The sequence below is a fragment of the Homo sapiens genome, chromosome 11 (genome assembly GCF_000001405.40).
Source record: "Homo sapiens chromosome 11, GRCh38.p14 Primary Assembly".
Lineage (NCBI taxonomy): Eukaryota > Metazoa > Chordata > Mammalia > Primates > Hominidae > Homo > Homo sapiens.
In genome coordinates, this window is record NC_000011.10 from 70,617,042 (window position 1) to 70,639,213 (window position 22,172).

At 53.4% G+C, this 22,172-nt stretch overlaps 1 protein-coding gene and 1 long non-coding RNA gene across 34 annotated transcripts in view, besides 3 other annotated features; one reads left to right on the forward strand and one right to left on the reverse strand.

Annotated features, from left to right (window-relative positions):
- Positions 1 to 22,172, reverse strand: part of SHANK2 (SH3 and multiple ankyrin repeat domains 2) — a 785,381-nt gene that overhangs the window by 149,188 nt on the left and 614,021 nt on the right. The window lies entirely within an intron of this gene.
- Positions 1,407 to 2,222: an enhancer, noted in NCBI's record as "H3K27ac-H3K4me1 hESC enhancer chr11:70464553-70465368 (GRCh37/hg19 assembly coordinates)". NCBI's record gives its function as "activates a minimal SCP1, AML or CMV promoter by ChIP-STARR-seq in primed H9 embryonic stem cells {active_cell/tissue: H9 hESC(primed)}" and the evidence as "EXISTENCE:reporter gene assay evidence [ECO:0000049][PMID:30033119]".
- Positions 2,223 to 3,037: an enhancer, noted in NCBI's record as "H3K27ac-H3K4me1 hESC enhancer chr11:70465369-70466183 (GRCh37/hg19 assembly coordinates)". NCBI's record gives its function as "activates a minimal SCP1, AML or CMV promoter by ChIP-STARR-seq in primed H9 embryonic stem cells {active_cell/tissue: H9 hESC(primed)}" and the evidence as "EXISTENCE:reporter gene assay evidence [ECO:0000049][PMID:30033119]".
- SHANK2-AS1 (SHANK2 antisense RNA 1) lies at positions 9,523 to 18,449 on the forward strand. 2 transcript variants are annotated; one of them, NR_174950.1, is made up of 3 exons: positions 9,523 to 9,982; positions 14,736 to 14,889; positions 16,533 to 18,449. It is a non-coding gene; the product is annotated as an SHANK2 antisense RNA 1 (long non-coding RNA). The 2 variants fall into 2 exon arrangements; NR_046567.1 differs by lacking the exon at positions 9,523 to 9,982 and adding an exon at positions 14,053 to 14,193 and having other exon boundaries at positions 16,493 to 18,449.
- Positions 20,162 to 21,003: an enhancer, noted in NCBI's record as "H3K4me1 hESC enhancer chr11:70483308-70484149 (GRCh37/hg19 assembly coordinates)". NCBI's record gives its function as "activates a minimal SCP1, AML or CMV promoter by ChIP-STARR-seq in primed H9 embryonic stem cells {active_cell/tissue: H9 hESC(primed)}" and the evidence as "EXISTENCE:reporter gene assay evidence [ECO:0000049][PMID:30033119]".

The following is a 22,172-nucleotide window of genomic DNA, read 5'->3' on the forward strand; positions in this document are numbered from 1 at the left end:
TGTGTGTGTAGGTGTGGCAGTGTCTGAGTGTGTGTATATGTGTGTGTCTATGAGAGTGTGTATGTGTGTGAGTGTGACTGAGAGTATGCTAATGTATGTGTGTCACTGAAAGGGTGTGTGAGCTGTCTGTGTGTGTGTGTCAGTGTCTATGAATGTGTGAGTGTGAGTGTCTGAGTGTGTTGTGTGTGTGTGCATGTGTGTCACTGAGAGTGCATGTGTGTCAATGTCTATGATGGTGTATGTTTGTCAGTGCCTGAGAGAGTATGTGTGTGTGTGTGTGTGAGTGTGTAGTGCATGTACATGCATGTTAAAACCCTTTAAAAATGTAAAAATCTTCCTCAGAAACTCAGTCATGGATGGAATGTGGCCCCCAGGCCAGAGTTCACCCAGCCCTGCCATAAAAGAAAGAAACGCGAGGAACGGAGTGGGGAGGTGGAGCAGATTTGTCAAAACGGGCAGTCAGAGCCTCTGCAGAGCTGATCGTGGGCTTCAGAGCAGAGCTAGGGGGCAGACGCAGCTGTCGCCACGGGAAGCATAGGAACCCTCAGAACCCCACGGGACCTACAAAGCCTAGAGCAAGCTCGAGTTCAGAGTTAACGGGAGAAGAAGGTGGCCGGAATGAGGGAAAGAGGCTTTCATGATCAAGGTGGAGTTTACCCCACGTGCATATGACCAAAACTCTGAAAAACAGTATTTTTCTGAATAAACGTCTACCATGCCAAGCATGTTAGAAATGTTTGATTCAAAGAGAACACATGGACACAGGAAGGGGAACATCACACACCGGGGCCTGTTGTGGGGTCGGGGGAGAGGGGAGGGATAGCATTGGGAGATATACCTAATGCTAAATGACGAGTTAATGGGTGCAGCACACCAACATGGCACATGGATACATATGTAACAAACCTGCACGTTGTGCACATGTACCCTAAAACTTAAAGTATAATAATAATAAAAAAAAGATGTTTGATTCAGGCTGGGCACAGTGGCTCACGCTTGGAATCTCAGCACTTTGGGGGGCGAGGCAGGTGGATCACTTGAAGTTAGGAGTTTGAGACCAGCCTGGCAACATGGTGAAACCCCGTCTCTACTAAAAATACAAAAATTAGCCAGACGTGGTGGCACGCCTGTAATCCCAGCTACTCAGGAGGCTGAAGCAGGAGAATCATTTGAACCCAGGAGGCAGAGGTTGCAGTGAGCCAAGATCACACCACTGCACTCCAGCCTGGGCAACAGAGTTAAGACTCGGTCTCAGAAAAAAAAAAAAAAAAAGAAATGTTTGATTCTGATGTGATTCGTGCAGGGGTGATTTCAGAAGGTCAGAATGAACCCACTGAGAGGGAAAAGTCTTTGAACAAAAGGACAAAAGTCTCCAGAGTTAACCGCCATTTATGTCTAGCCTAACCATCTGAGGAAGGAACGTTCTAGAATCCCAGGGCCACCCCGCCCTAGGTTCCAATGAATGGCCCCTGGCTCTGCCCACAGCCAGGCCTGGCCTCACCTGCAGGTGATGTGCATGGCTCGGATTCAGTAATTAAGTCATAAAACACAAGGCTGGCTACTTAGAGCAGAATTACGAGGCATTTCAGCTTGTGAATACGGTAATCCAGCTTAATTAACACCGACTGGGAGAGCAAGGCGCAGGCTTCTGGGTTAAATCAGCCCATGCGGAAACCCTGGCCGCCGCTTACCCTCATCACGCTATGCTGAGCATTTGTCATTGTGTGGAATAAAAATAAACCTGAGCTTGGAAAACTGGGCAGGTGACCCTGGAAAGGCCCGGAAACCACCCAAGGCTGGCTCTCCAGGGCCTTTGTGTTAAAATGGAACAAATCCAGCAACCCTGAGAGGCGTATCCAGGGCAGGCGAGCTTCTCTGGGACAGGGGACACACAGGCTGACCCGGCAGATGGCCAGGAGATGGACGGGGTGAATCATTGCAGGTGCCGTGCACAGCCGCCCCAGTCCCTTACCCACACCCTTCGTCCTGCAGGCTCGATCTCCCTTCAGGACCCCCGCTTTCTGCCCATGGCCCTGCCCAGGGGAGGCGGACCCCAGCCCAGCCTGTGACACTCTAAGGACTTCCTGAGGGTTCATCATTTCAGCCTGACAACCACCCTTGGGTTAGATTCTTATTGCTCGCTGTAATTAATTACTACAAATTTAGTGGCTTAAAACAACAAAAATGTTCTTACGTGCCAGTTCTGTAGGTCAGAGGGCCAACCCAGGGCTCAGGAGGCTGAGAGAGCGGCGTTGGCAGGGCTGGCTCCTTCCGAAAGCTCTCAGCGAGGGTCCTTTCCTGTCTCTTCCAGCTCTGGGGACCCCTGGCGTTCCTTAGCTGAGGGTTCATTACTCCAAGTTCTGCCTTGGGGGGTCCCATGGACTTCTCCCCTGCATGCATCAAATCTACCTCTGCCTCCCCCTTATAAGGACGCCTGTGGTCACACTCAGGCCCCCCTAAGCGATCCGTGATGACCTCCTGATTGCAGCAAGATCCCTCAGTTCATTGCATCTGCAAAGCCGCCTTTCCCATGGAAGGCAGTCGGTCGACAGGCTCTGGGGATAAGCACGTGGACATCTTGGGGACCCTTATTCAGCTGGCCACTGGCAGGCACAACTGGGCTCTGCAGAGAGGCTGCCCAGGGACCCTTCCAGGCAGTGATAACGCCTCAGGGCCCCTCTCTTCCCCATCTCCCTCATTCTCTTTGGGGCTGTCCTGGCTGCCTCCATGAGGCGTGCTAGTCAGTGCCGGCTCACAGGGAGGAGGCCTCCATAACAGCAAGGCCCTTGGATGCTGGAGGGTGAGACGCTGCCCAGTGTGAAATCTACCTCTGTTACCATGGGACTTGGAGGAGCACGTTTGGGGCTCAGCTCTGCTAACTGATGCTCAGGGAGGCAGGAGGGGAGAGTTTTAAAAGAGCCACAAAGTACCCCGGAACTTAGAAGGACACTTGAGGACCTTGTTTAAGACTGGAACAGAATGTCTATCCTGGGAGAGGGTGTGCTGGTCTCCCTCTCTCTTCTCATAAGGACACGGATCCCATCATGAGTCCCCACCCTCTGACCTCATCAAGCCCTAGCCCCCTCCCAAAGGCCCTGCTCCTGACACCATCCTGGTGGGGGTTAGGGTTCCAACATTTGAGTGTGGGGGTCACACAGACATTCGGTCCACGGCACCAAGCTGATGCTTCCTGGTGTCTGAGATGGGGAGAGGCCTCTGCATAGCCCGGCTGGCTCTTCTCTTTCCCAAGGCAGAAGAATCATTACCTTGCCGGGGCCTCATCAGAACAAAAATGTAATTGTTTTGTGCCTTTTAGAAACCTCCTGAGTTGGGAGAAATGGAGATTTTGGTGGCTGTCCATGAAGTACTTAATTAAGCAGAACAGGTAATCCCATCGTTATTACAAGAAACACACAGAGCTCCAATATCTGTGGAAATGCAGTTGCCTGTGGGCCTGGAGGCTGCCTGCCCCGCCTGGTCTCCCCCACCCCCACCATGGGCGCCTTCCTTCACAACTATCTGGGTTGTTGCATTAAGGCTTGTCTTGCCCCCAGACAAAATGTGGAGTCTGTTGTTACCGTCTGAATGTCTGTATCCCCCCAAGTTCCTATGTTGACACATTTGGAGACAGGGCCTTTATTGGAGGTAACTCGGGTTATACGAGGTCATAAGGGTGGGGCCCTGATCCAATGGGATTAGTGTCCTTATAAGAAGAAACTCCAGAGAGCTTGGTGGCACTTTCACACACACTCTCTCTCTCTCCTCTCTCTGCCATGTGAGGAAGCCAGCTGCCTATAAGCAGGAAGCGACCCCTCACCAGGAACCAAATTGCTGGCACCTTGATCTGGGACTTCTAGTCTCCAAATAAATGCTTGTTTAAGCCCCCTGGTCTGTCGAACCTTATTACAGCAACCCAAACTGAATAAGACATGTGGGGTCCGGTATGACGTAATATCTGTGTGACCACAACAGGCCTCAGTTTCTCCATCTGAAATGGGGATGGATGGTAACAGCACCTGCCTCAAAGGCTGTGGGGGCTGAAATGAAAGCTCAGGCACCAAGGCACCGGGATCGGGCAGGGTGTGATCCCGACTTCACCTCTACAGGCTCACATCAATGACAGCAGCCCCTGGGCAGCCTGCTCTGACCTCCCAGGAAGACCCAATTTCTGGGGTGTCCAAGGGGCAGTCCTAGACACTTGAGGAGATTAAGTGTCATAAGACATCAGCCCCTCTTGTCCTGATCACTATTTTGCAGATGAGGAAACCGAGGCAGGAGCGGCCAGGGTACTCATTTGAGGTCACAGGTGGAACATGCGAAGCAGAACCCAGACCAGCTTGGAGCCCAGCACTGCATGGCTATTGCTTATGCCCTGCACACCATCTGCCCATTTCTTTCTGGCCTGGCTCCTGCCTCTGCCCCACCACACTGCCAGATGCACACCAAAGGCTGTGCCCCTACAGCACCCTTGGCGAGGACGTGGCCCATGGCAGGTGCTTGGGAAATACGGGTGGACTGGGTGGAAGGAAGGAAGGAGAGAGGGGACTGGAAATTCTTCCCAGCTCCTTCATTTCCCAGATGGAAGGTGATTTCATCAGATGGGAGGTCTGATACGGTAGCCCCAGCCATGCGTGGCTGCTTACATTACAAAACAACCCAGGCAAGTGAGTGTAGAAGGGGAGACTCTGCCTGAGGACGTGGGTATGGGGAAGAATGATGGAGATACATGGGGATGATCCATTGCTGTAACTCTTCTGGAGACACCCATAAATGATCCCAGAAAAGCATGATTGAGGGCTTAATGGCAGAGGTGATCAAGTGTGACTGACAGGTGTTGCCGACAGACATCCCAGCCTGCACACCCCCAGGCCTGGCCAGCTCTTCTGTCCACACAGGAGGGGTGAGGGCCAACTTCTGAGCTCGTTTCTCTTCCCGGCTCTGTCCACACGGTGCCGGGAGGTTCTGGAGCTGAGCCCAGCGCCATGTGGAGGGGCCTGGCCCACCTTGCTGGGCTGGCTGCCCCAGGCACATTGGGGCAAAGGGGTGTTTGCCTGTCACTAGTGGGGTGGGTGAGCCTGACAAGAACAGCTGGTCAACCACTCCTCGGCTCCTTCTAGAACCATCCAAACCCAGCAGGATGTCCAATGGAATGGACGTCTCCAATCCAACACAGCACCGCAACTTCCCCTGCCTGCCAAAGGCTTCCCCGTCTCAGCAAAGGGCCCCACAGCTGCCCGGCAGTGTATGGAAGAGCCCAGGACTCAACTCATGTCAACCCCCGCCCCCACCTGTGCTGTGCCCCAAAACCACCCCCAGCCTCAGTCCTCTCCACCCCGGTGTTTGATGTGGAACAGCCGCCAATGGGGCTTCCTGACCCTCTGTGCGAGTGTCCTGGGCTTTTGTTACAAAGCAACACAAACTGGGGGGCTTAAAACAACAGAAATTGATTCACTCACAGTTCAGGCGGCCTCCAGTCCAAGACCAAAGCTTCTGGGAGGGGCCATCCGTTCCGGGGCCCTCCCTCAGCTCCAGGGGCTGCGGCCACCCTGGTGCCCTCCCCTTGGCTTGTAACTGCACCTGCCAGCCTCTGCACGTGGCCTTCTGCTCATGATCTCAAGATCTCATCTCAAGATCCTTAACTATAAATGACATCTAAGGACATCTGCGAAGACCGTGTTTCCAAATGAGATTCCCAGTGGACACAGTTCTGTGGAACACCATCCAACCCCCTACTGTCTCCAATCCAGTCTCCGAACGGAAGTCAAACAAGCTGAACAACACACACGCGCAAGCACCACTGCTCCCTGCCACAAACCCTGTCACCTGGGGAGTAGAGTCTAAATTCTTCTCCACAGCCAGGTGCGGTGGCTCACACCTGTAATCCCAGCACTTTGGGAGGCCGAGGCGGGTGGATCACCTGAGGTCAGGAGTTTGAGACCAGCCTGACCAACATGGTGAAACCCCATCTCTACTAAAAATACAAAATTAGCCAGGCATGGTGGCACACACCTGCAATCCCAGCTACTAGGGAGGCTGAGGCAGGAGAATGGCGTGAACCCGGGAGGCGGAGTTTGCAGTGAGCCAAGATCGCGCCACTGCACTCCAGCCTGAGTGACAGAGCGAGATTTCGTCTCAATCAAAAAAAAAAAAAATTCCTCTCCACATCCTGTGGGGCCTGTGCCTGCCTCTCCCACCCTTCCCGCACTTGGGTGCATGGCCTCTGCCCCTCCAGGTCCCCGGGCGGTTTTTGCCTCTGGGGCTCTAAGCCCACCTCCTCCGAGGTTGCCGACCTTCCCTGCCGGCCAGCACTGCACAGCTATTGCTTATGCTCCACGCACCATTTGCCCTTTTGGAGGATCATCGTTATTTATTCATTTCTTTCTGGCCTGGCTCCTGCCTCTGTCCCATCATGCAGCCAGATGCACCCCGAAGGCTGCGCCCCCACAGCACCCTTGATGAGGACACGGCCCATGGCAGGTGCTTGGGAAATATGGGTGGACTGGCTGGAAGGAAGGAAGGAAGGAGAGAGGGGACTGGAAATTCTTCCCAGCTCCTTCATTTCCCAGATGGAAGGTGGTTTTCATCAAATGGGAGGTCTGATACAGTAGCCCCAGCCACCCGCGGCTGCTTAAGTTTCAATTAATTGATATTAAATACGTAAAACTAAGAATTAGCTCCTCAGCCACACTGGCTGCATTTTGAGTGCTCAGTAGCTGTGTGTGGCCAGTGGTGCCATATCGAGCACATGGGACATTTCCAGAAAGTTCTACCAGACAGAGTTGCTTTAGACCAAGGAAGGAGAGAGAATTCAGGGCTGTCAGCATTATGAAGGTCCCAGGGCATCTCTTCCAGCCTATGGCCCCTCCCAGGCCAGGGCAGGGTGTGGACAGCAACAGAGACCCCACTGGGGAGCTGGGGTATAGGATGGGTCACAACTCAGGGCTAAGGGTGCGCCCAGAGCTGCCACCAAGAACTGGAGCCATGGGAGGCAGGGCACCTTCGTCCCTGTGCAGGGAGGGGCAGCCTTGGGTGTGGACTTCTGGGAGCAGAGGCCCTGGTTTCCCTAGGGGAGGGGTGGGCCCGGAGCTTCCTGGGAGCCTGCAGCCTCAGGAGGGGCTGAGGCCGGGGGAGTGTGCAGGACTAACGGACACCATGCCTGCCACTTCCTGAGCTGAGGGCAGAGCTGATGGGGGCGGGCTGTCACCTGCATGGTCTTATTCCCAGGCTTGCATCCTACCCCTCTCCCCCATGGAGGAGGTGGGAATGGAGCAACGCCCCCAGCCAATCCCCTGGTTCCCTGGTGCTCCCAAGGGATTCCTGCCAGCTCTGCGGCCCTCAGACTTGAGGCCAGGGGGTGTTGGACACACTGCACCCCTCACAGAGAGAGGAACAACCATCCCCTCCTGCCTGAGCCAGGATTCACCCCCAGACATCCCTCAGAATCCATTTCCATCTTTCCAAAGAGATGCTCCCATGGCCACAACCTTCTTCAAAAAAAAAAAAAAGAAAAAGCCTCAAACCGTCTTTCCCTTAAGGCAGCAGTCCTCAGCCAGGGGTGATGGTGCCCCCCCAAACCCCAGGGAACCAGAGGAGGAACCAGGGAACCACGTGTCAACGTCTGGAGACATTCTTGGTTTTCACAACTGGGGGCTGGTGCTGGCATGGAGTGGGGAGAGGCCAGGCTGCTGCTGGACACCCCACAGTGTGCAGGAGGGGCCCGCAGCAGAGTGATCCTGCTAGAAACGTCCCCGGTGTCGTCCTGGGGCAACACTGTCCCAGTTCCACACCTGGCAGGGCGGCTCTGCGAAATGCCTCCACCCAGAGCCTGGTCTCTATCGGCTCCCTCACCTGGTGGCCTGCGGGGGGTGTCCCAAGGGTTCTCACCAGGAGTTTAGCCAATGTACAGTTTGAGAGAACAGCCCCCACAAGACCACCCTTCCTCAATTCAGACACCAGCTGCAAGTTCTGGGGGTCTCCAAGACCACCCTCAGGTTTGGTGATTTGTGGGAAAGACTCGTAGAACTCACTAAAAGCACCTATGCTCACAGTTATGGTTTATTACAGCAAAGGGATCCAGGCTGAGATCAGGCAAGGACAGGCAGGCGTGGGGGGCAGAGTCCAGGAGGGTCCAGACATGGGGTGTCTGCCGTCCTCCCTGGGAAAGTGGGGATAAGTCCCTCCCAGAGATGACGTGTGACAACACGCATGGGGCATTGCCGCCAGGGATGCTCCCAGACCTTTGGTGTCCCGAGTCTTTGCTGGGGCTCTGTCACACACTGCCTTGGTGGCAGGGCTTTAGTTTCCAGCTCCTCCTGGAGGTTAGGGCTAATCCTTCTGGTCTCCAGTTTCTTCTGGAGGTCCAAGCTGATGTGGCATGACCCAGAGCTCCCACCATAAATCACACTGTCAGACTGTCCAGCAGTCAAAGCCCCCAGGCAAACAGAGACACATACATCAGGCAGGATATTCTGGGAGCCCAGAGACCACCTCCCAGGAGGTGAAGGCAAAGGTTAGCTCTCTCTTTGGATCAAGTTGGTGCTTCACTACCCAGACCTCCCTCCCTCCATTTTAGATCAGAAAACTGAGGCCCAGACCTTAGGAAATCTGAGCAGGCTCTGAGCAGTGGAGGATGTGGGCTCTGAGCCAGTCCCTGCACTCTCCTCTTTTACTCAGGCCCCTCCGCTCCCCAAGTCCCCTGCCTCCCAGAGGTCCACAAGCCCAAGCTGGGGGAAATCTCAGTGCAGCCTCTTGGATCTCTGTGCAAAAATGAAAAAAAAAAAAAAAAAAAAAAAAAAAAGACACGTTTGTGCATAAAATACACACTGTAGAGGAAGGAAAAATGCAGGAAGAGAAGTTTCCAGTAATTCACCCCATGGCAACCACCAGGCCAGCGTGGGACCTGGAGTATTAATCCTCTAAACCTGGGGCCCCTCCCGCTCGGAGGGCTGAGGGCTGCAGGCCTCTGGGGCCTCCCCGCCTCCAGTTCCGCTGCCTTGTTCTCACTCCCAGGCAGCCTCCGTCCCAGCCTCCCATCCCGGCTGAGCATGGTACCCCGCACACACGGTTGCTAAGAAACCGTTGCCAAGAGTCACAACTCAGCTGGCAACGGAAAACACCCCCAGCAGCACCGTTTGCTGGGCCCATTTAGGAAGACATGTTTTCTGGTCCACTCAATGCCTCATCCTCTTTGCAAACATTTCAAACGTTTTCTTTTACATGGCTTCTAGATATCACTTAGCATGCACTCTATATTTAGGAACGGTTATGAAACAAACATATCACCCACAATATCTGCACTGACTATGGCATGAAGCCTGGTACTGGGATCAAGAGGCAGGGAGACACCAGGGAAAAATCCTGCCTCATATCACAGCGAAGCCTGGTGCTCCTGGCTGATTTGGGAGCTTGTCGGTAAGTCTCATCTGGTCAAGTTCGACAACCCCCAGGTGGCAAGCTTTACGCCACAAAGCCCATTGGACTGCAGGAAACAGGAAAGATGGACAGCTCTAGTCCTCGGCCAGAGGCAGAGCTCGTCAGTCAGTCTCATCTGGTCTAATCCCACAACCGCCGAGTGGCAAGCTTTATGCCACAGAGCCCACTGGACTGCAAGAAACAGGAGAGACCGATGGCTCCAGCCCTGGACCAGAGGCTACTATCCCTGTAGTACCTCTGAAAGGCCAATCCTTGTAGCAGCCCTGAAAGGTCCAGATGCAGCCCCTTATTCTGCAGAGGAGGAGTCCAAGGTGGCCCACCCACAGGAGGCAGAGCTGGCCTCTGTTGCTGTAGTGGAGAAATACTGCACCCCAAGCCACATCATGACACTCTTCAGCCCAGAGTGGGCAGCCTGAAGAGGAAAGACTCCATCCCAGCAAGGATGAAGGCTGCGGTTCCCAGGTCCTCCGTCAGCACGTATCTCATTTCCTGGGCACCCAAGACAGGGACCCCGGGAGGCCCTTTGGTTGGCTTTGGCGCAGCCGTGAAGGTCAGATGGGAGCCTGGAGGTGGGGGGCGTGGGGGTGGCATGGTGTTGGGGGACTTTGTCCCTGAAGTGTCTCCTCTCACAGCTCGCTCTAGCACTAAAGGTTCCTGTTTTTGAGGTTTGTGATATTAGAGTTGTTCCCCAAAATTCCGATTTTCCTCCTTCTTGGGCACACACAGGGCTGCAGGTCTCCACCCTCCTGAAGTTAGGTGCGGCCAAGTGAGCCGGCGGCTGCAGGGACGTGTGTCACTCCAGGAAAGATGAAGACCAACTCACCACCCACCACACTGCCCTTGAACCCAGATGTGGCAACTATAAATGGATGATGGTCCAGCTGGTGGGGGCGTCACCCAACCCGGTTCCTAAGTGAGGAGGGCAAAGGACAGCACCCAGCAGACCTGACAGGGCAGTGAGAGTGAGCAGGAAATAAGCCTTTGTTTTTTTAAGCCATGGCAACCTGGAGATTATTTGCTACTGCAGCCTAACCCCGCTGTCCTGACTGTTACAGGTCAGGTGGCTACAGCAGAATAGCCCTTATCCTAAACGCTTGGACTAGAAGTATTCTGGATTGCATATATTTTTGGATTTTGGAATATTTGCATGTACATTTGGTATATCTGCACATATAATCACATATATCCTGGAGATGGGACCCAAGTCTAAATATGAAATTCACGTATGCTTTATACACATAGCCTGAAGGTAATTTTATACAACATTTAAAGAATTTTGTGCATGAAACAGTTTTCATTGTGTTTTGACTGGGACTTACCCCATGAGGTCAGGCTTGGAATTTTATACCTGTGGCATCATGTTGATGCTCAAAAAGTTTGGGGTTTTAGAGCATTTTGGATTTTGGATTTTTAGATGAGCTCAACCTGGATTGGACCTCAAAGGGTGCCCTTATACAAGGTCAACATGCCTAGCAAGGAAGAGAGTTGTTTTTTGTTTTTTTTTGAAACAGAGTCTCGCTCTGTCGCCCAGGCTGGAGTGCAATGGTGTGAGCTTGGCTCACTGAAATAGCGGCCTTCCAGCTTCAAGCGATTCTCCTGCCTCAGCCTCCTGAGTAGCTGGGATTACAGGCGCATGCCACCATGCCCAGCTAATTTTTGTATTTTTAGTAGAGACGGGGTTTCACCATGTTGGCCAGGCTGGTCTCGAACTCCTGACCTCAGGTGATCCACCCGCTTCAGCCTCCCACCATGCCTGGCTGAGAGTTCTTAAAACTGAAGATCTCCCAGGTAAGCCCATCTTTGTGTGGCAGGATCCACAGGTTAGGCTGGGAGGGTCCGGGAGCAGAACGTGGAAGCCAAATTCTGACGGGCGCAGCAGGGGTGGAGGCTGATGGCACCAAAGTCGGGGGCGGAGAGGGCAGTAAACACATGTGCCCCCCTCTGTCCTACCCAGGCCTCGGTTTCCCTGCTCGCAAAGTAAGCATAGTCACTACTAAGCAGTGCCTTAATATATCAAGAGCTCTTTTCCCCGGGGCCTCCTTCAGTCCTTATAGTAGCTCTGAAATGTCCTGCAACAGCTCCCTATTTTGCAGAGGAGGAGCCTAAGGCGGCCCACCCATGGGAGGCAGAGCTGGCCTCGACGCCAGCCCCATGCTCACTCCACACCCAGCATCATGATGCTGCTGTCATCCCCCAACTTCCGGCTTCCCGAGCTCCAGGCAGTGGAGACCCACCATACAGCAGGCTGTTAGCACCGCCTCTGGGTGGTGAGGGGCTGCCGAAGTTTCGGCCCACCTGCCCTCCCCAGGACAGGCTCAAACTGAGTGTCTAGGAAGAGTCTCTTGACTAGGGGAGTGAACAGGTCCCAGAGGATCACAGTACTGCTGTGGGCTCTGGCTGGGTAAATCATCCCAGCTCTGGGGCTCTGGGCTGCAGCGCGGCAAGGCAGTGTGTTCTGCACAAAGACAGGATGTACTTGGGGAGAGGCTGTACCATTGTTGTGAGCGGAAGAGAAATTAATTTTAAGCCTGGAGTTGATTCCAGCCTGGGAGGGAAACGCCAACACTTGGAGAGGGATGGTTTCAGGCATGTGCGCGCCACAGCTCACGTGCTCACTGCAGCCTGAATTCAGTGGGGAAACGCGCCCCGGGCACCCTCCCTCCTCTGTCAGTGTTCCAAGCCACCCCCACATCCCAGCACCGGAAGAGCCTGGCCCCTCCTTCCATCTAGAGAGCCTTGGGTGTGTTCTCCGCTGAGCCACACCCTGTCCCCTGCCCCACCAACTAAAACACACCACCCAGGCTGCTGCCGAAAAGGCTGGGAGAGGGGCAGCGAGCCAGACTGAAACCGCCTCTTTCGAACTCTCTGAAGGGTTTGGTCAGTTCTCTGTCATTTAACCTAGTGCTTGGTGATGAGGACACAGAATAGAGTGTGGCTCTGCTGCTGGCCTCCCGGGTCTCCAGGCCTGATGGAGTGGGACACACGGACGTCCAGCAGGTTCCGGCCTGGCGGGAGAGGGAGGTCTGGATCACAGGCTGCGGGCCACCGTGACCCTGGGGGCCGCATGTGGTGGGAAGGGCAGCGGGATGAGCTGGCAAACACTGGGGACTCCAGCTCCCCTAAGGGCCTCCGAACTGCTGCCACAGCCGCTACTGCTAGGTGCACTCTGACATCAGCTCCAAGCCGGGGAGAGGGGGTGCTGCCGTCAGGAAGGTGCCACCTGGGCCAGAGGCACGGGACACCAGGGAGCACCTGCTGCAGAGCTGGATGATCCTGGTGCCCTCTAATGCCCTGACTCCAATAAGCCTATCTCTGGGCCTCAGTTTCCCCAAGTGTGCAATGAAGGGCCTGGCCATCCAGACCCCCAGCAGATCCGGCCCCCTGACATCCATTCTAGTCCCCTTCCTCACTATGAGGACCCTAATATTGTCTTGGCAGTTAACAGACCCAGCTACAAAACCCCTTTTCTCAGTTTCCCCTGGCTGCTAGGAGTGACCAGGAGACCCCAGGGTGCTTATCAATGAGACAGGAGAGGACATCGTCTGTGGGCTTCCAGAGAGGGGCAGACAGCATGCACACTGCTTTTGCTCCTGGCCCTGGTCCGGGAGATGCACTACCGTGGGCTTTGGCCCCCACTCAGCTTGCCCTATGCTAGAAGGTTCCCTGATGGCAGTGGGGTGAGGTGGGCTGCAGAGCCCACGCTTAGAGCAAGAGAAAGGTCAGCCATCCTGCTGGGCTGGCACTGACCTTGCAGGTGCCCTGAGGCCAGACGGCAGGCAGCAGCGATGCCCCAGGTCCCAGGCCCCAGAAGGCTGGTCAGCCCCCAGGACAGGAACCAGGCCACGGCTGAGGACTGTGAGGGTGGCAGACAGAAGGACAATCAGACCCAGGCTGCCCAGGCAGAGGCGGGGCCAGGAAGAGATCTGCGGACAAAGTGGCATCTCTAGGCCTCTGGAAATTGTGTGTGATTTCAAGCAAAGAGACGGTAGTGGTTGAATTTTGTCCCCCTAAAATCCACGTCTATGTAGAACCTCAGAGTGTGACCTTCTTTGGAAGTAAGGTTGCTGGAGATGCAATCACTTGGGATGAGGTCATCCTGGAATAAGTGGGCCCTAAGTCCACTGGTTGGTGCCCTTATAAGGAGGGAAAATACAGACACACAGAGACATGGCCACGTGCAGATGGAAGCAGAGACTGGGGGATGTGGCCACAAGCCAAAGAACACCTGGACTCCCCAGAAGCTGAAAGAGACAAGGAAGGGTCCTCCCCTAGAGCACTGGAGGGAGAGGGCCCTGCCGACACCTTGACATTGGTCTCTGCCTCCAGAACTGTGAGGGGAGACACTTCTGTTGTTCAAGCCCCAGCTGGTGGCTTTGAACCCTTTGTGAGAGCAGCCCCAGGACACCAGCACAAAGGGTGAGCATGTAGGAGGCCAGTGTGGTGACCTGCGCATCCTGTGGTCCCTCCCTCCGGCGCCCAACGCATCCTCAGGACTAGCCGGGGCCTGGGGACCGGACAGGGAGCAACTGGCAGCAGAGGGTGATGACAGAGCCTGCATTCCGGAATCTGACCCACAAAGGGCTGTGGCATTCATAGGAGAAGCCACGGAAGACCGGCAGGAATGACAGAAGCAGCAGCGAGAGCCCTTCAGAGGACCGCGAAACGCGAACTCCCACCCCAGCAAACCACCAAGGGGAAGAGGCGGGCCCCCATCCAGGAGGCCTTAGGAACAGGAGAGCTGACTTTTCTAAAGCAAATAAGGTCCAGGTTGCCTAAAACAGGGGAGGGTAGCCTAAGGCTCTCCCAGACTCATGACAACTTAGAATTGTACAAGTGGCACATTTAGCTAGAATCTGGGAGGAGCCTGCTGGGGGCCGTGCCATTCTGAGGGTTCCCGGAGTTACACACACACACACACACACACACACACACACACCCACACAACCTCCCTCCCACCTGCCTTCTCCAAATAAAACCATGTCCCTGGTCCTTTTCTCTTGGTATCCACCTTCTCCATCATGGAGGAGGTCTCAGCTCCTAATCCACTCGGCAAAGTCCCAGCGGACAGTGAGTCACTGAGTGCTGGGCCAGGCACAAGCTGAGCTCAGGGCCTCCAAGGCAAGGTGACCCAGAGGGCGCTGGGAATAGGACAGCGTAGGTGCCCCCGCAGTGGGGGATGTGGCTGGGTGTCTGTGAGGATGCTTCCTGCATGACAAGCTGGGGTTATAAGAACACAAAAGCCTGTAGGATGAAGCCTGGCCCAAAGCAGTCGGGGTCCCCTGACCTCCCCGGCCTCTCTCCAGGCAGTGTTCTCCCCAGGGCGCCAGGCTTCCCCAGCTCCAAGTCTGGGCGTCTGAAATCTGCTGTGTAATTGGATCACGCCCGGCCCGTGCTGAGCGCCCATCTGCGCCCGTCTTGGAAAACACAAGTCTCAGAGAAGGAAAGCAGTTGCCACAGGTAATTTTCTATCAAATATATTACATTTCTTGGAATCACACGCAGAAATTAACTAATTAGATTCCCCCTTATTTTTGAAATGCTTTCAGAGGACAATGGAAAGGTTCACTCTGTTCTGGGAAACGCTTCATTTAGACGCTAAACATTAGAATGCGATTTGTCCTTCAATCAGGGAAGAGTGGACTGAGCGGACATTTTTGTTTTTGTTTTTGAGACAGTCTCGCTCTGTCACCCAGGCTGGAGTGCAGTGGCGCGATCTCGGCTCACTGCAAGCTCTGCCTCCCGGGTTCATGCCATTCTCCTGCCTCAGCCTCCCGAGTAGCTGGGACTACAGGTGCCCACCATCACGCCCGGCTAATTTTTTTTTTGTATTTTTAGTAGAGACGGGGTTTTACCGTGTTAGCCAGGATGGTCTCGATCTCCTGACCTCGTGATCCGCCCGCCTCAGCCTCCCAACTGGCGGACTTTTAAGGATGCTATCCACGCTCCCTGCTCCTGGTTCCATCACGGGCCCCGAACAGCTGCAGGTGTGTGAAGGCAGTCTGGGAAACACTTCTGAGTCAGACCCACCTCTCTGGTTCAACCAGAGGCTCCTTTCTCTCCTTGATAACAATCCAAATTGTGATTGTTTTATAGAACCGCCTTTTACAACAGAATCATCTCCCCACATACCATTTTCCCTGATGCTGCCTGACAATCCTTGTCTCCCAGGGATGTGGGCACACAGCCACATGCTGCTCTACCTCCCACCCGCCCTGAGCACTCGGTGGATGCTGGGACTCTGCCGGCCAGCCAACCAGAAAAGGGCGCATGAGGGTACATCCGGGCTGCAGAAGAACATACTAATTGGTTTATTTTTTGAAACAAGGTCATGTTGATCTGGAAGGTAACTCGGGGGAAGAGTAGACAGGACCAGAGGGAGGACAGAGGACAAGGACATCATTCAGCAAGATGAGGGCTTGGGAAGCTGGGTCTCTGAGAAGCCTGGGCCCCTTTAATCCCAGTGAGCCCCTTGCATGGAGCGTTGATGGATACGGGGCAGGGGGACAAGGACAGGCGCAGGTGCTCATTGAGGAGAGAGGTCCTGGGATCCCCAGACCTGGGCATGAGGGGGCTGCCACTGGGCACAGATGGGCAACCTGGGCACCATGCAGAATAGTGTCTGCAGCTGATTTAGACACGTTGAATATATAAATACGTTATATATATTATGTATGTTATATATAACATATTTATACATATATTCATATACGTAACATAAATGTTATATTTTTATATATGTATTACATAAAAATATATTGTATATAATATATATTCTATATAAAACATGTATAAGTATATTTATATATATATAAATAACACTGAGTTGAATATACAAAAATCCTGAGTTCATAATGACATACTGGTGAGGAAGAGAGAGACAGACCAGGGCAGAGAAGACACAGGGAGAGTGAAAAAGACCCTACTTCATCCCTCAACAACATGATAGAAAACCAACTCACTGGACATCAGTAGAGATCACTGAAGCATCAGCTTCCTATAGAGAGACTTGACAATGAAAAAGAAAGAATTAAGCATTTATCTTGCCTTCTTGTACAAACAGTGTTCAGCTTAACCAAGTCATCTTATTTGATATGTGAAAGTTCTTCGAGATGGAAGAATCTCAGCTCATCACTGCGAAGGCATGCCAGGATTAGGAAGTCATCAGATGCAAGCCTGCAAGCCTCAGTGTACTCCTCAATGTCTGCAGGGCCCACCCCAGAGAGAGGCCCCTGGGTGACCAGCCGGTGAGGAGCTTCAAGAGGAAGGATTCACCATCACCACCTGGATCCTGTGTGCAGCTTTTGTCACAGCGGTGGCGAGCACAGTTTCTGCCTCCTGGGGAGATGGGGTGTGAAGCTCACAGCACCTGCGTGTGGCTGGGCCCAACATTAACAGCGCTGCAAGAGCTCACCTCCATTTATAGGAAGTGGGAAGGACCCAAGGACTGGCCGATGACACCACAGGAGGCAGAAGGCACATCGGGGGTTGGGGGTAGCCTATGGCCAACCTACCCTGTCCCTCTAACAACCTACCCTGTCCCTATAACACGTTGCTGGCAGGAAACACGGGAGATGGCTCAGACTGGAGACCTGGGGACATATCTACCAAGTGCCACGTGGGTCCTGGGTCAAAGTCACCACCGTGAAAAGACATTTCTGAGATAATTTGGGACATGTGCTAATGGAGGGGTTTCAGATTCCACCCAGAGACCACTGCTGGGTGCGTGGATGGGACAGTGACACTGGGGCCCGCAAGAAAGATCCCATGCTGTGAGAGACAGACTGAAGGGGAAGAGGGAGTGACGCGATGCCTGGGATTTGCTGAAGAAAAAAAAAAGAATAAAAAGGTCCGTCTGTATATGGATGGCAAGAATTTCTTGGTAACAAAAGCACAGCCAATAAAAGAAAAAATAAATACTAAGGTCGATGAAAATTTAAAACTTTTGTGCATCAAAGGGCACCATCAACAGAGCAAAAAGGCAGCTAAAGAATGGGAGGAAATATTTGCAAATCATGTATCTGGTAAGGGGTTAGTATCCAGAATGTGCAGAAAACTCTTACAACTCAACAACAGAAACAAAAATCTAATTTAAAAATGGGCAAACTGGCCAGGTGAGGTGGCTCATGCCTGTAATCCCAGCACTTTGGGAGGCCGAGGTGGGCGGATCACTTGAGGTCAGGAGTTCGAGACCAGACTGGCCAACATGGCAAAACCCCATCTCCACTAAAATTTCAAAAATTAGCCAGGTGTGATGGCACGTCCCTGTAACCCCAGTTACTCGGGAGGCTGAGGCAGAAGAATTGCTGGAACCCAGGAGGCAAAGGTCGCAGTGAGGTGAGATCACGCCACTGCACTCTAGCCTGGGTGACAGAGTGAGACTCCGTCTCATAAATAAATAAATAAAAATGGGTAAAGGACTTGAATAGACATTTCTCCAAAGAAGAGATACAAATGGCTGATAAGGACTTTTCTGAAAAGATGTTCAACACCACTAATCAATTAGAGAAAGGCAAATCCAAACTACAACGGGACACCATCTCACACCTGTTAGGATGGCCACGATCCTAAAACAGAAAGTAATGACGCTGGTGAGTATGTGGGGAAACTGGAGCCCTTGGGCACCGCTGGCAGGAAGGTAAAGTGGTGCAGCCCCTGTGGAACATGGCATGGCTGCTCCTCAAAACCTTAAACACAGAACGAGCACGTGAGCCAGCAATGCCACTTCTGCATCTATGCCCGAAGGCATTGACAGCGGGGTCTTGAAGAGATATCTGCACACCCGCGTTCACGGTGGCAGCACTATTCATGGTAGCTAAGAGGTGGACGCAACCTAAGTGTCCACCTACAGATGAACAGACACACAAAAGGTGGTGTTTCCGTAGAGTTGGGATAGTTATCATTCAGGCTTAAACCAGAAGGAGATTCTGATGCATGCTACAACACGGAGGAACCTCGAAGGTATTACACTGAGTGAAATGTACCAAGCACAAAAAGATAAATACTGCAGGATTCCACTGACCTGAGGTCCCTAGAGTGGTCAAATTCATAGGGAGAGAAAGTGGGATGGTGGGTGCCAGGGGCCGGGGGAGGGGATGGGGATGAGTGTTAATAGGGAAGAGTTTCAGTTTGGGAAGATGAGAAGGTTCTGGAGATGGATGGTGGTGATGGTGAATGGAAATGTACTTAATGCCACTGAAATGTATACTTAAAAATGGTTAAGATGGTAAATTTTACGGTATGTGCACTGTACTACAATTTTAAACATAATACAAAGTATAACTGTAAAAAAAAAAAGGGGGGAGGAAGTGAATGGAGCAAATGGCGGCTGTGATCTCTTGGGGGCCAGCTCTCCACAAGGTCTTCATAAACCCTCGGTCACGCTCATCTGCTGCTCAAGGGCCTCCAATGGCTCCCCATTGCCCTAGGCCTTGACACAGCCTGAAAGGCCCCGTAGGGCATGAGGCCCGCCCCTTTCTCTGCCACATCCACCCCTCCCGAATGTTCCAGAATACGCAGAGTCTTTCCCTGGTCCAGGTGGGGCCTTGCACTCACCACCCCGGTGCCCGGCCCACCCTCACCTCAGCTCTACCCTCCTCTTCAGGTCTCAGCCTAAATCCTTCCCCTTGGGGAGCCTTCCCTGACCACTCTGTCGACAAAGGCGTGGTCTCTGCCCTGTAGCTGCACAGCATCCTAGTGTGTGTGAGAGTATATGCGTGAGCATGTGTGAATGCATGTCAGCACGTGTGTGTGTGTGAATGTGAGTCTGAGTGTATGAGCATGCGTGTATGCGAGCATGCATGTGTGTGTACATGTATGAGTATGTGTGTGAGCAGATGTGTGAGCGTGTGAATGTTAGCATGTGTGAATGCGTGTTAGTACATGTGCATATGTGTGTATGAATGTGAGTCTGTGTGTATGAGTGTGTATGCGAGCATGTGTGAGCATGTGTGCAAGTGTGTGAGCATATGAATATGTGTGAGCACGTGTGAGCATCTGTGTATGTGTAAGCACGTGTGTGAACATATGTACGAGGATGCATGAGAATGTGTGAATATGTGTGAGCATGTGTGAATGCGTGTTAGTACATGTGCATGTGTGTGTATGAATGTGAGTCTGTGTGAGTGTATGAGTGTGTGTATGCGAGCATGTGTGAGCATGTGTGCAAATGTGTGAGCATATGAATATATGTGTGAGCACGTGTGAGCATCTGTGTATGTGTAAGCACGTGTGTGAACATATGTGCGAGGATGCATGATGTGTGAATATGTGTGAGCATGTGTGTGAGCATGTGTGTGAGCATCTGTGTGAGCATGTGTGAGCGTGTGTGTGAACATGTGTGTGGGCATGTGTGAGAACTTGTGTATTTATAAGAATGTATGTAAGCATGTGTGAACATGTGTGTGCACATGGTAGCATGTGTGCAAGTGTGTGTGAACATGTGTACCGTTTCCTGGGGTTGTCACGACAAATCACCGCAAACCAAGGGGCTTCAAACAACAGGAATTTTTCTCTCAGTCTGGCGGCGGGAAGTCTAAGATCAAGGGGTAAGCAGGGCCACACTCCTCTGGTGGGCACGTATGTGGGTGCATTCATGTGTGTGCACGTGTGTGTGCATGTGTATGGGTACCTGTGTGTATGTGCACGTGTGTGGGTGCCTGTGTGTGCATGTGTGTGTGCATTAGTATGTGTGTGTTTCCATTCACAGCACAGCCACAGCCTCCAGTTATGGAGCCTGTTGACCCACATAGTGCCTGTCAATCTGTGCAGTGCCTGTTTCCCCAGCACTCAGGCTCTGTGAGGGCAGGGCCTGCTCTTCCTCTCTGCAGGATCCCAAAAAGGCCCAGGCTGGTGCTGAGTACGGACTCAGTGTGTGGCCCGCACACAACTGATTAGACCCAGGGTGCCTATAGAGACCCTCCTGCTATTCACAGATGGGGGCAGGTGGGGCTGGGCTGGGTGTTTACTCCCCTCCTGGCCGGGCCACGGCCAGCTCTCCTCCTGCGGTGCAGAATCCAGGTGCCCACAGAGACAAATGAGCGGCCGGAGAGCCAGCCCATGATAGGCAGCTCCTCAGACCTCCCCCCACCAACCCATCGGGAAGCAGCCACTGCAGAGAGGGTGTGACCCGTGGGAGGCCGCTGCCCAGCGCTCAGGAAGGCCGGGGCACAAAGGATGCTAGGCACTGGGAGTGAGGCTGGCGCCCTGGCGAGGGGAGACTGGCTGCTCCAGACCCTCGAAAGCCCTGGGGCCCAGATCCTGGCAGTCTTGCAAAACAGACCTAGGTGTCAGACCCCTTTCCTTCCCGCACCCCACACTCTAGGCTGCCCAGGGGAATCCCAAGGAGCCTTGGTATCCCAGCCAGCCTCAGGCTGACCAGTGAGTCTACCCAGTGACGGGGCTGGAGCCCTGTTTGGGGTCTGCGAGCTGCCCACAGCTCACGCCAAGCCGGCTTCCGCTCTGTCCATCAATTCAGGCCCACTGAGCACAGGTTCTCGGGGAATGCTCAAGAGCCCCATGCCAGGTGGGTCCCATTCACAGATGTCTGCTCACCAACCAGCAGGAAGCTGGAAAGTACCCCCAGGACAGCTAGCAGCCCACAGTGAGCTGTGAGGCACACAGCAATTTGGGGCTAATTTTCTCCTGCAAAGAAGTTGATCCCATAATCTGGCAAATACACTAATCGTCACTGCACTGCTCAGAGCAGGAGCTTAGAGCTACAGAGTCCGGGGGGAACAGGCTCGGCATAGAATGAGACCACGGACTGCCGGCTTGAAGAATGTGCTGCCAGGATATGAAACCCAAAGCTGGCAATGGACCACAAGCTACTCCCAGTGACAGAGGACCCAGGCCACAGACCAGCTGCTGTGCTGGGCACAATGCTTCTATTGTCACGGAACCCTGCATCCACGCCCGGCCCCGCTTGCAGATGGGAAAGCTGAGGGTCTGGGGCTGCAGGATGTGCTCGGCGCCCTGCTGATGACCTTCCCTGGGCCAGCCTGACCCCCGGCTCCTCTGATCCTCTCTGCTTTAACGGAAGCAAAGAATGAGTTGTAACAGCCGAGGACCAAGGAGCAGCTCTTCTGTCAACAGATGCACCGGAAAATCCGCGGTGGCCGAGGAAGCCCTATTTTCTTTAGTCTGCTCAGCATTTCTTGTACAATAATAAAAACATCTGAATTTCCAACAAATATAATAGAAAGATTTCCTAGAAAATGATCTATTCTGGCTTTGGTCAAAAAAGTTGAGAGTCCAGCCGGGCACGGTGGCTCACACCTGTAATCCCAGCACTTTAGAAGGCCGAGGCGGGTGGATCAGGAGTTCGAGACCAACCTGGCCAACATGGTGAAACCCCGTCTCTACTAAAAATACAAAAATTAGCTGGGCATGGTTGCAGGTACCTGTAATCCCAGCTACTTGGGAGGCTGAGGCAGGAGAAGCATTTGAACACGGGAGGTGGAGGTTGCAGTGAGCCGAGACCATGCCACTGCACTCCAGCCTGGGCAACAAGAGTGAGACTCCATCTCAAAAAAACAAAAAAACAAAAAAAAAACAAAAAAAACATTGAGAGTCCATGGCTCACACTGCCCTGAGTCTCACAGAGCCAGCCTGGGCTGGTGCTGGGAAGGGCTTCCCCTGCTGGCTGAGGGTCTCTGCAGCCAGGACTTGCCACTCCCTGATGGCATCTAGAGGCCTCTGTGTTGGGGACCCAGATGGCAGCCTCAGGAAATGGCCAGTTTGGG